The 13,330-nt window shown below is 34.9% G+C and overlaps 1 long non-coding RNA gene across 1 annotated transcript in view; it reads right to left on the reverse strand.

The window, feature by feature from the left end:
- Positions 1-13,330, reverse strand: part of LOC105369677 (uncharacterized) — a 200,713-nt gene that overhangs the window by 87,432 nt on the left and 99,951 nt on the right. The window contains exon 4 of the long non-coding RNA XR_931397.3: positions 1,015-1,090. This is a non-coding gene — a long non-coding RNA (uncharacterized LOC105369677). The remainder of the gene's footprint in view (positions 1-1,014; positions 1,091-13,330) is intronic.

Below are 13,330 nucleotides of genomic sequence, written 5' to 3' on the forward strand. Positions count from 1 at the left end.
GACAATTTGACTTCCTCATTTCCTAATTGAATACTATTTATTTCTTTCTCTTGCCTGATTGTCATGGCCAGAACTTCCAACACTTTGTTGAGTAGGAGTGGTGAGAGAGGGCATCCTTGTCTTGTGCCAGTTTTCAAAGGGAATGCTTCCAGTTTTTGCCCATTTAGTATGATACTGGCTGTGGTTTTGTCATATATAGCTTTTATTATTTTGAGATACATTCCATCAATACCCAGTTTATTGAGAGTTTTTAGCATGAAGGGCTGTTGAATTTTGTTGAAGGCCTTTTCTGCATCTATGGAGATAATCATGCGGTTTTTGTCGTTGGTTCTGTTTAACACATCAGAGCTTTTAAGGCTCCCTGTGGTTTGACCCAGGCCTCCGATTGTACCTTTGTATTTTGCAACTCTCTTCCTTACTCTCTATGTTGCCACAATCTCAGCTGCCTGTGTTCCTCACAGAGGGTACTCTACCATTGTTGCTTATGGTTTTTCCACTCTTTAAAAAACTACTTCCTACTCTTTGTATAGGTCAGAGTTCTAATATCATTTCCAAGACAATTTTTCATCCTTTCGTATAATATTCCAGGTTTGTTGGGGCCTCTTCTCTGTATTTCCCAGAAAATAATTCTACCCTCTGGAGAACTGTATTATTCACCATATGATAAATATGTAATACACACATTACACACACACTTGCACATACATATTTCCCCCATTAGAATGGAAGGACCTTGAGAGTAGGAGTTGCGCATTTTCCCTAGAAATTTGCATAATGCCTAGGATATGCAAGAGACTCAAAAATATTCATTCAATAGACACACCAATAAATGAATGTATATATATGGTTGCTAGGGCTCTGGGAAAACAATCTGTCAAAAATACCAACAAAAACAAAAATATTTTCTATGTACTAACTGATCTTTGCCCTTTCACAATTAGAGAGTTTTTTTTTTTTTTTTAGCTTATACTTTTAATTCATGCTAAGAGCCTCATGAGTGCTATAGGTACTTACGGTCAGAAGGAAGAGAAGCTGGGGAAAGGAGGTGCCCACCTGGAAGGCTGTGGCTCTTTGGAGATATGTGCCACTCCTAAAAGCAACAGCAATGGAGGAAGAAAATATTTGTTAAGTTCCAGTGTTTGTGAAAGTATGGTAGGTAGTGCATGTTTTCACTGGGTGAATTGAAAGGACTGCAAGACCCCAATCACATCTCCTCCTAGACGATTGTCTTCCTATCTATTTTATCTAGGCAACAAGTTTCAAGACTATTATTTGTTTCTTTTTGATTGTTAGCTGTTGCACATTAAATTTTAAACATCCCAAAAGGAATGCAATGCCCTACTTCTCTCTCAGTTCTTATAGGGCTTTCTATAGAAGTGTGGATTCAATGACAGGTCAATAAAAAGATGTCTCACAGGCAAATGCAGACTGACTGACTGACCGTAGGATCAGATTGTGCAAGTTTGGAGGAGAGGGATAAGAGGGCCTGAGAGTTAGAAGTATATAGCAGAGCTGAGTACCTGCACATGAGAAATATATGCATACGTATCTGGGATGAAAAGGAGATCCTCAGTCTAAAAACGTTTAGTCTTAAGTGTCTACATAAATCAATAAAATATGTAGAGCCTGTGCTAACTAATGTTTTCACAGAGACTGTAGTGTTCTCTCTCTTTCTGAGTCCCCAACCCTACTATCAATGGCACTAATGTCATGTATTCTGTCTATTAAATTTAGAAAAGAATTGTTCTGTTTACCTGCATGAAAAATTCATTGCTCCCTGTACTGTAAGTGGCTTTGTGTTTAACACAGGTATATCTTACTTGTCAAATTGCTTTTGGGGTTAAGAAATTTTTTTAATTCCCTGCCTTTATTTATTATCTTATTACATTTTTAACTGTTGATGTTTATTTTTTATTTGACATTCAATGAATTTTCTCTGGGTCTGCCTTTTTAGTACTGGCTGATGTTTTATAACATATTGATTCCCAATATTTTAAACTCACCCACTGTTGATATGAGGATCACACTGGGAAGTAAGATGTTTACATCTCGCTATGAATAGCAGATAAATGAAATAATAAAGGTTGTCAAAAGCTGAGGAATAAAGTAAGCCAGGTTCTTGTTTGCTGTCAAGAATATATTGCTATGGAGCTTAGAACCAGCTAACTTCGTAATGGACACAGTGAAGTGGTTCTGGGCAGAAAGCCACTCTTTTAAACATTTGAAATATCAAAGAAAAATTTTACAAAAAATATTATTCAAAATAGAATGTTTTATATTTGTCCATCATGAAGTACTTTATTGAAAATAAAAACCTTATGATATCAGGCTCTAGAGACAGACTGTTTCAGTTCATATCTTCTCTCTGCTCCTTCCTAGTTCTGTGGCCTGATCTTGAACAAGTCATTTACCCTGCCAGTGCCTTGGGTTCCTCAGCTATAAAATGCAAATAATAATAATGCATCTATGATTGTTATGGGGAGCAATAGAGATAATGCATGCAAGCATTTAGAACATTGCCTGGTGCATAATAAGTGTGTAATAAATGCTAGCTATTGTTTCTGCTATTATAATTAGTTACAAAGGAATTGCCTATACACAATTCTGTAAGTAGAGGCATATACATTTAGCCTTATTTCTGTATTTTTCTTTTGAAATAAGCAACACATTTAACTCATAGAATATCATTAATTGTCTACTTTCTCTGATTCGAGAAATAACTTATCTATTTCATCAAACTAGCCTCAATTTTTCCAGGCAAAGTAGAGTTCCCTCATTTGTTGTCTCAAAGGACTGAGCTCATACTATTTCATGGCACTTACTGCATTATATCCCAACTTGTCTGTCCTCATATCTATTCCCCCAAGTAGAATGTTGATCTTTTAAATGCAAGGGCAATATTTTATTATTATTTTCACCTCCAGGACTGAGGAGAGGGCTTAGCAAAGAGTGCTTGAAATGAAATGGAATCTAGTGTTTTTCCTACTTGGACTTCCATTTTTCCTGACCTCTGTATGTATAACGAAGTATCATTTTCAAGTTCTCTATGCTCACAGAAGTCAAGTTTTTAAAATTTGATTTAATAGGATAACAAGGTTGGAAATTAAAAAATGGTTTGCATAGGTGCGTTCTGTAACTCCCTTAAAGTACACACTGAGTGCAATTCCAATCCCGGCCTGGACTGTGTAAACTTTTAACAAACATTTTGTATTCTAATTTCACAGAGAATCTATTTTTATGCCTTTCAAAATAGTTCTGAAATTCAGGTTTAAAAAAAAGAACAAATAATTGACTGTGGCTTTTACTTCTCTAAATCTGTATGCCAAGAAATACTTTTGGTCCTAAGTATTCTACTAATTTAAATATCATATGATACACACTGACTTAGATAGTGGTCAGTGAGAAATCTGCTTGGATTGCAAGTCATTCCCAAGGCATCAAAGTTGGTAAGTGAGAGAACCAGATCAAGCAAGTGACCTTACTAATGCAGATAGTAATGAACGGTTTCAGCTAGAGACCACCCTATGCCACAACGAACCAGAAGAACTATGAATTTGAACATAATTTCATACAAGAATTGACTGATGTTGACCTTAAGAAATTATTACTCATATACAATGTACATTAGTTCCTATGACATTAGCTTAAAGCTCAAATATTCTCTTTCTATTTTTGGTGCCGAGCATGCTCCTATGTGGAAGGAAGAAAACATCCGTTATAGCTCTTCCTAAATTATTTCTTGGAGTTAGTTTTTGGCAAAGGCATATGTTAAAACTTATCTTACTTCAAAAGTGAAATGTTCCAACCAGCAGATATAGAATTTATCTGCATATCTGTGATGACCAGTTTTAAAGAGACTCGTCTTCAACTAGAGGCAAGATATTCTACTTGTGTTTAGTAGCAGTTACTAAGCCCTAAAGTAGTAATAACTAATAGTAATTTTAAAACTTTCAGAGGTAATATAGGAAATCCATATATATATATACACACACACACACACACAATAAAAATACATCAATACTGATTGTGCCTAGCTAAAGAATATAAAGAAGTACATAATGTGTACATATTATATACATTGAGGTTGACAGCTAGTTAAATTCACGCTTGGCTTTATTCAGTGTTTGGTTGCCAGCTGCTTTTCTTTTGTACATTGTGATTAATTTCATTGTCACTAGATTTGATGTTTCTGAAAGAGTCTTTTTCTGAACCTAGTCAGGAACCAGGAAGGGAATTAGGAATCCAAGTTGTTGGAGCAGTCTCTATTGTAGTCTGATCTACTCACTCAAATTCTATGGTCAGATAAAGACCACGAAAGAAGAATAAAAATAATGACAGCATTTTTTGCTTTTCAAATGAAACTCCTTACAATACTGCTGTAGTTTTTTGAAATATTTTATTTGTTCTGCATTAATATATATTTCTAAGCTTTTAAACTTCTGAGAAAATGAATTAAAAGGGATATGCTTTCTTGATTGGTATGTGAGAAACCCCATGGAATGTGTAATACAAAAAGCTACATAGGCAAAATGTTTTATAAGCATGTTTAAAAGGGGAATCTATCAAGCCATTTCTATATGCTCCTGATTGCTGGCTTGTGTGCTGTGAAGAACAAAACTTCAACTCAAAATGCAAATCATACAGGAATCGTAAAAAGGCACAACCCAACCCTGCTATCACAGTAATTAAGATTTTCAAAGTAAAATTATTTTCTTCCTTTTTCTCTTCTCTGTCTCTCCTTTTTTTTTTTTTTTTTTTTTTTTTTAAAAAGAGGCAATTTAATGGGCTTAACAATTTTGGGATGCTTTTAGATAAGGATGTTACAGGTAAAATTTATGCCACATTTGTCAAAAAAAAAAAACCCTTTTTGGTACATATTAAGTCCCTCCCTTAATTAAGCCTTCTGGGGTTTCAATGTGTTGATCTCATTTTAAACCAAGCTCAGCACAATTAGACACACTGAGGAGATGGGAGATAAGTGGTGTATATAAAAACATTTCAGACACAAATATTTCATCCTACAAGGCCCCGATTTTCTCTTTCCATTTTAAAAAATCTGGGCTCAAATAAAGAAAAAAATTGATTATTTTCAGCTTGTCATACATCTCATTTGGAGTGGGTCAGACCTCCCCATTCACAATTACAACTAGTTAATCTTATCATAGAAAAATTCAATTACATTTATCAAGGTTATTCCATAGATTCAAGCTATTGCTTTAAGAAAATGGATTTTAGTGCTAGGAATGTTAGCATTGTGTGTTCCCTCAATTTTAAAATAAAAATAAAAAATAAATAATTAAATCTTGCCTTTACATCTATATTATTAATGTAGAGTTGTAATAAAGTAATATTTGACAGCTTTGTAAAAAGTATTATTAATACATAGATTATGGAAGTTTAGGAGGGAGGCTCATAACTGTTAATAGACTTCAATTCTCAGCCTACACTGACATTTTAAAAAATCTAGTTTCAAATTTGATAACAGATTACCAGCTAGGCTGGAAGCCAACCACCTGATTAAGGCAATTTAAATGCTTGCAAAGTGGTGAGATTAAAATCAAATAAGTGCCGATTTTTTTTCCTGCTTCACTTATCTTTCCCTGGATTCGTTCCTTAACTACCAGGTGGTGGAGGACTCTGGGTAATTTTCCTCTGCGCCAATTACCCCAGGATGGTTTTTAGGGTGAAGCAGAATAATTACTGCACTATCAATCCAAAATGGGCTGCTTAATGTGTTTAAGAGAGATTTTGAGCCTTAGCAGGGAGGCTGCCTGAAGCGTGCTCTGCTCGCGGTGCCAAAGCCCACTCGGCCTACTCGGATAGTTAACCGTTCAGTGAGAAGGCAGCACACACCCAAGGTGAAAGCAAACAAGGAAAACTCCTGGGAAGCTGTGGGAAAGTTAATGAGCTGCTTCCAACGTGTGGCAGGCTGCAGTCGCAGGTGGCTGACAAAGCTAGGCAGGTTAAGAAAATAATATTTATCATCCAGCTGCCAGGACTGTCTTTATCAAAACTCTTTCTAAAATCCATACAAGAAGAAGAAAAACGGGCTTGAAAAAAATTTTTTTGAAGAGAAACAAAAACAAAAAGCCCTGAGCAGCTGTGATTCAAATGCCCTATTCTTGCTGATGGGTTAGAAAGAAAGAGGGAGATAGCGATTGAATCTGACAGCAATTTTTCAACATTTTCCTGCAAACAAAATGGAAAAAGAAAAAACAACTAAATCAGATTATTTATTTAAAAATTAAAATTAAGCTGCAACTTTGAAATGACACCACTAAATTCTATTTTGTAGCAACCTCAAATTAAGTAACATGTTCCATCTGTTGAGCCTGCTCTGAATTTCCTTAATTATCATTATTTGAATGTAAATTTTGAGTTTTAGCCAGTTTGTCCAAAGAAGCACAATGCTAATTTAAAATAAAAATAAATCATTATCTGTAAGGGGACTGCTGCTGTTTCCTCCATTTAGTTATTTCTTTATATTGGTATTTAAATGATCTGTGCCTTCTCTGTGTTCAGTGTGGTAAGGGTTTCTTTTTTTAATTATTTAATCAAAGACTGATTTATGATTTAGCTTAACAGATGGTTTGTGATAATGTGAGTCAAAGTGTTTTATTTCAGAGAAATCCAGCATTTGAAATTTGTGCTTTATGTGCGCGTGTGTGTGTGCATGCACACGCATGTGTATGAAAGTGTTTCTGTTTTTGTGGATCTGCATTCTATCTGTGTACGTATCTGGAAGTCAGAGCTTCTGAGTGCTGACCCCAGTAGGGTAGTATTCCATATGAAACTGATTTATCAATGCAATCATTCCTGGCTCCTTACCTTGGTAATCAGTTTCATCTGCAAGGGGGAAAAAAAGATAAATGAGAATCAAGGGAAAGGCATGCTGTCCTGTGTTCTAACTACACATGTTAAACTACATGTTGGAAAGAATATCATGAACTTCATAATGGTTAGAAATGAACTCCTATCCATTCTGACAGATGCTCTGGTTTATACAGAAAAGTATTTTGTAAGGCTCACACACAATCCATTTAAGATTATCACATTAAACCATATTTACTTCAGAGGTCTGTAATAATTACATATGCACTTGAAAATCCCCAGGACTTTGGCTGCTGTGTCACAGATTTAGACTCAAACATTTTCATTTGATGTGCAAAGTGAGAAGTACTCTTTAGTGGCAAGACAATTATCTGATTCTACTAATAAATGACTGCACTAGTAGTCATTTTTAATTGAACAATTATAGGATATTGCACTGTCAGTTGATTATAGAAGTCATTTCATAAATGTCAAAAATCTCTTTAAATGAATTATGAAGCTCCAAAATAACTCCGGCAATCAGCCAGCAATAACACAATAATCTGTTTACCCTGTTGTCAGCTGAACTCCTACCATTTCGTTGAGGGGAAGAGGCTAAGAGGAAAAGCGGAGCACAGTGTAGGGAGCCCCTTTTTAAGGATTATGTTTAGCTCCAGCTCAAGCAACCACCTAAGCTTTGATTAGCACAGATTTTGAGTGTTCTCAAGAGCCTGGCTATGTATAAACTGTATTACAAAATCAAAGTCATCCTGTAACGACAAACATTACAGACGTGTATGTGTCTGCCATATGTGAAACATTTCAACATAAGTTGATCCATGAGCCCTGTGTTAGAAACTGTGGGACTGAACCAATGTTTACCAGGATTCTGCCCTTCCATTCACTGGCCCTGGTTCACTCACCACCTAAGTCCTTTCTAATTATACTCGAGTAGAATCTTCTAAATATTTCTTTAGCATCCATCAAATTTTATTTTAAAAACATACCCAGGAGAAATGTCATTCTTTATGTCACATAACAGAATGCTGCCCTGCTGTTTTTAATTTCTCATAATTTGCTTTTGGCATGGAATAAGTGTGGATGCATGTCTGGATATACTAATATTACATTTTCAGCTGGTAAAAGTGAAACCAGAAATAAATTTTCACTTAAAGAGAAGTTGCACTGATAAGAGAATCAAAGTTTCTAAGGTTGAGTGTGTGATTGTATTATAAAATATTTATATAACATGGCATATATATCCTTAAAAATACATTCTAACTTTGAAAATCAAATTTTCTTTATTTAATACATAATTTTTGGTATGCAATCTTTTTATATTTATTGCTTTCCACTTAATAGCACTCTTCAGTATATTAACTGTGCATTTATTTTTCCATGGTCTTCCAATAATGTGAGTTACAAGCAAAAATGTCAATGTTTGTTTCCGGATAAAGATATCATTTATAAATTTATTTGTGAAATAAAACTTTGTAAAGTGAGAACTAAAATCCTGATGTGCTATTTTATCAGTTTGGGATTATTTAGATCAAGCTCTTTTGAATGGAATCCACTCACTAATCTTCCCTTAGAACCATCTGAGCAATCATAATTTTGCTGTCCCTCCCTTCATGTATATGGAAGACACAGGATAATGCCTCATTTGTTGTTTTCCCATTGTACATTTTTCAGTGGATGATAACACAGAAGATAAATTTCTTGCTTCCTAAAATATTCTCTTGAGTTGCCTTCCTTAGCAGTTCTTTTATGGAGTGTATATTCCCAAATCTCTAAAGGAGATCAAAAGGATCTATCAAAAAGTAAATTGTAATAGATTAAGAAAACAGTAAGAACAGAGAAAGAAAAATTACTTTAAAACCTATAAAACTTGCCTACAATACTTATGCATAGGATTAGATGACATTCTTATTTCCAACCAGACTAGAAAAGCACCTGTCGTCATACAGTTCTTTCATCATGGTTACTGCTGGCAGGGTAAGCAGAGAAAACTCAAAAGAGCAAAGAAAAATCTTGGTAAAGCCTATATGGTGTCATGAGAGAGCTGAAAGAAGAAGAAAAAACAAAAATCACAATGTGTGGGTGTGTGATACTTTGAATTGACTCAGAACTGGCTGAATGGCTTTGCTGGTGACTGGGGTGATGACCTTAGATGACATGTGACTCACCTGACCTGTCCCTACATTTTCATCTTATGTTAAATAAAATGACTAGTGCCTCAGAAAAACTTTTTGAAATGGGTTCCTTGTATCCTTGTGTAGTTCTTGCAAGGTTTACACAAACTTAGATGAAAAACATAATGCCTAAAATACATTCCTGTTTCCCCATAATAAAAGAGGGATATTCTTTTAACTGTTACAATTCCACATTATTTTCTCTACTTTCAAAGAAATGAAATAAATTAATATAGAATTTTATTGAATCTGAAATGTTTAGAAACACTATTATATATCACTAAGAGGGAAAAAAATGCTGCCATCAACTGTAGCTCATATTCCAAATAAAAGATATTAGAATCTGAAAAAATGTAATCCTTAGCTTCCCTGAAACAAGGCAGCATAAAAATACCATATAAACTTAATGACATAAAAAGCATTGTACTTTTCAGGAATGCATTGAAGTCAACATTATCACCAAAAAATAAATTGTTAAGCTTTATATATAAAATACATTGTGGCCTTTTATATATATGTGTGTGTATAAATATATATGTATATACATATATACACACTCATTGTAAGTAATACTTTACAAGAAAAATACAATTATCTAAATTATGCTTCTGATCTCAAATTATAAACTATATTTTTTCTTATTGCCATCAGATGACGTAACATTACAAACACACACAAATGTATGCATATACACTTATATATGCGTGTGTATACAATACAAATATATATGTACATGTACAAAAGTATATACTTTGTCACAGATTTTTGAAGGTAAACTTTAATGTAATAAACCAAGTGTCAGTACTTAGTTTAATACATCCATACTGATAAATAAATTGAATAAATAAAAATGTAAAATTATTGGCACATAATAACTTACCAATTAGGAGACAAAATTGAAAAATTTGAATATCTAATCTAAATACTATTTGTCTGCTTTTCATGTCCACAAGATTTCTTTCTTCTTTTCTTCTTTTTTTTTTTGGTATTTCCTCCCTCCATTCCCATCCCCTCTCCATACAGTAGTCTCAAAAAGGGGCCAAATTCATGCTTATTTCTATCAATATTATATTTCTGAATATGCCAATGAAGGAAACATTTTAAAGCATGGAGGGCAATAATGGACAATTTGTAAATGAATACAATCACATAAAGTGTTTCCTTACAGTTTGAGCATTCAAGTATCAGTTGGTGATTCAGGAAACATCAGACTGGTGCAATCAAATGGTTACTATCTAAACCTTTCCCTTATCTCTTAAGGGCTGAAGAAAATGCATACACAGAAAAAGTTATTAAGGAAAAACAACTAGGATAGATGGGATTTTAAAGTATTTGTAAGGAACTAAAATGCAATGAATTGTGTATTATAGGCAATGTTTGGAGAGCCTTCTGCATTATTTAAAACTACCATAAAACATTTTCTCCCTAAACATCCGTTATTCAATATATTACTTATAAAACTGAAAGAATAATTAAGAGGACTGGACTGGTTGGCTTTTAATTTTTGAATGTGTAGAAGCATAAGTGTATCACAGGCTGCCTAAGGCATTTTAAAAAGGAGCGATGATAAAAACAAAAAGAACACTTGATACATTCAGATAACTCTGGTCCAAACTGGGAAATGACTAGACTTGGCCTTCCTTTACTTTCCTTCTTCACTTTTTTCTGACTTTCTTCCCAGTTTTTCTGCTCCCTTCCCCTCACCCACTACCATGCTGAGCCTTTCTGTTTTGGTATGCTGTCATATTCATCTTGCCTGGTAGTTCCTCATATTTCTGACTTATTTTTTTCTTTATGTACCATACTCTGTGTCCTAGATTCTGTGTTTTTAAAGCCTTCATTAAATATCTAAACTCTGCCAGTAAAAAATCCAAGATAATCTATGAGTGTGAATTAATTAATATATTACTCCTACAACAGCTTAGCATTTTGACAGTGAATCTATTAAGAATATGTGTGGTTTCTCTCAAAAAATAAATACTTAATGCTACCGTTTCAGGAACAGGGATGAACTAGTGGTTGGATAAGTTTGTCCCCATACTGATACCAATATTCCTCAATATTCTTATTTCTACTGTGAGATCCACTCTAGTATTTCCAACTGTCTCCCGGATATTTTCATGTGCTATCTCCATTGTGTTGGCATTTCAAGTTGAACATACCCCCAAACAAGCTCATTCTTTTGCCCCCAAAATCTTTTCTGCCTTGTGTGGAAGGTTAATTTCTTAATTAATAGCACTATTGCTTGCTTTTGCCAGCTGTGTCCCTTACTTACCTTCCTCTTCTGCAGCTGTCACCCACTTTCAACTAAATCTTGTAGATTCATTACAGAATTGTATCTTGAACCTGGCTCCTTCTACCTGCTCCCGTGGACAGTGACTTCATTTAGGCAAGTAACTTCTTTTAATAAATTATTGTAATAATCTTAATTTTGCCTGTGACAATTTTTTTCTTCACTGTGTGATGTGCTGTCGCCCCATAATCTGTCACTATAAATCCTTCTTATAAATGCTAATTCTGTATATAACTCCATTTGAAATCTAGCCTTCTCATTATTTATTTTTTATTTTTATTTTTATTTATTTATTATTATTATTATTTTTTGAGACAGAGTCTCGATCTGTCGCCCAGGCTGGAGTGCAGTGGTGCGATCTCGGCTCACTGCAAGCTCCGCCTCCCAGGTTCACGTCATTCTCCTGCCTCAGCCTCCCGAGTAGCTGGGACTACAGGCGCCCGCCACCACGCCCGGCTAATATTTTTGTATTTTTAGTAGAGACGGGGTTTCACCGTGTTAGCCAGGATGGTCTCGATCTCCTGACCTTGTGATCTGCCCGCCTCGGCCTCCCAAAGTGCTGGGATTACAAGCATGAGCCACCGCGCCCGGCCCTCATTATTATGAGTCTAATCATTCAAGCATGGAGGTAAAAACAAAGCAAAACAAAACCTTCAAATCCAGGCTTACATTTTCTTTCTAGCCTACCTCTTTGCAAATACCCCAACCAGCCCTTGTGTCAATTTTATAGGATGCTTGCCATTCTCCAAATACGTACAGGTCTTCCTTTCATTCTAGCCTTCATAAGACTTCTTGATTGCCTAGAATGCATCCCATTTACTGAACTGACAATTCCTTATCTTGTAAGACTTATTTTAGATGCCATTTGCCCTGCAAAGGCTTTCCTGACTCTAACAGATAGTTGGCATCCCTAACTTAGGTGTTAATAATATTATATTTTCACTGTAAGTATGTTCCACCACAATCAAGTTCCACTCACCAGTGCAGACAGTGAGCTTTCCTTTCTATACCATGATCACAGCTTTGTGGGAATTAGTATCTCACTCTATGATTGGGAGTTACAAAAGTCCTGAATCATTGAAACACTGTGGGTATCCACACAGAACAATTTTGATGGGGCTTAGTTCACTCGACTCTTAGATCATTATGGGAGGCAAGATAAATAACATGTCCTTTACCTGGAGAAGTGATAATTAACACACAGCCTATTTTTGATGGAAAGCCTTTGCCTACAGCCATGAGAAGTTCAGTTAAGATCCTCAATTATGACTGTGGTCATAGATATGGAGAGAAGACAAATATGAATGATATTGATCAAGGCTTGGTGATCAATGTATTGTGAGATGAAGGAAAGAGCAAAATCTAGAATGATTCCCAGGTTTCTGTTTTTGCTAAATATAGATACCTAATAAGAGAAAATAAGAGTGGAGAAAGAAAAGCAGTTTTAAAAATCTGGACTTAGCTACTTCCAGTACATCGAAATGTGTATGTCTTTTAAATAACTTGTTATATTAGCCTGAAAACTTCATCTTAAGATGGAGCTAAGATGTTGACTTTTTTTCTGTATAGTGCCAGATAATAATTATTTGCTTCAACTCTGCCTTTGTAGCAAGAAAACCACCATAAACAAATAGGCATGGCTTGTCCTAATAAATCTTTATTTACAAAAACAAGCAGCAAGTGAAATCCAACTGACAAGCCACTGTTTGCTGACCCTGATCTAGATTACTGAATTCCTCAGTACATAGGAGGATAAATGTCATTAGAGTGGATGTGATTACTCAAGGAAAACATGCAGAAGAAGATTAGTGTGCCATTGGATCAGTGTGATTTGATCATGAATGGTAGAGCTCATGGAGAGACCAGGATACAATGGTTTGAGATGCCAGAGACACTGGAAAACCAAAAAAATAAGATTTCCATGGAAATAAGGGAGTGAAAATTTTCAAGAATATTCTCTAGGTTAAATGCAATAGGAAGCATTAGTAAATGTGGACAAAAATAAATAAACATTTTTAAAAAGTTCACTGATTTA

Source organism: Homo sapiens, chromosome 12 (assembly GCF_000001405.40).
Source record: "Homo sapiens chromosome 12, GRCh38.p14 Primary Assembly".
In the NCBI taxonomy this organism is placed as follows: Eukaryota; Metazoa; Chordata; class Mammalia; order Primates; family Hominidae; genus Homo; species Homo sapiens.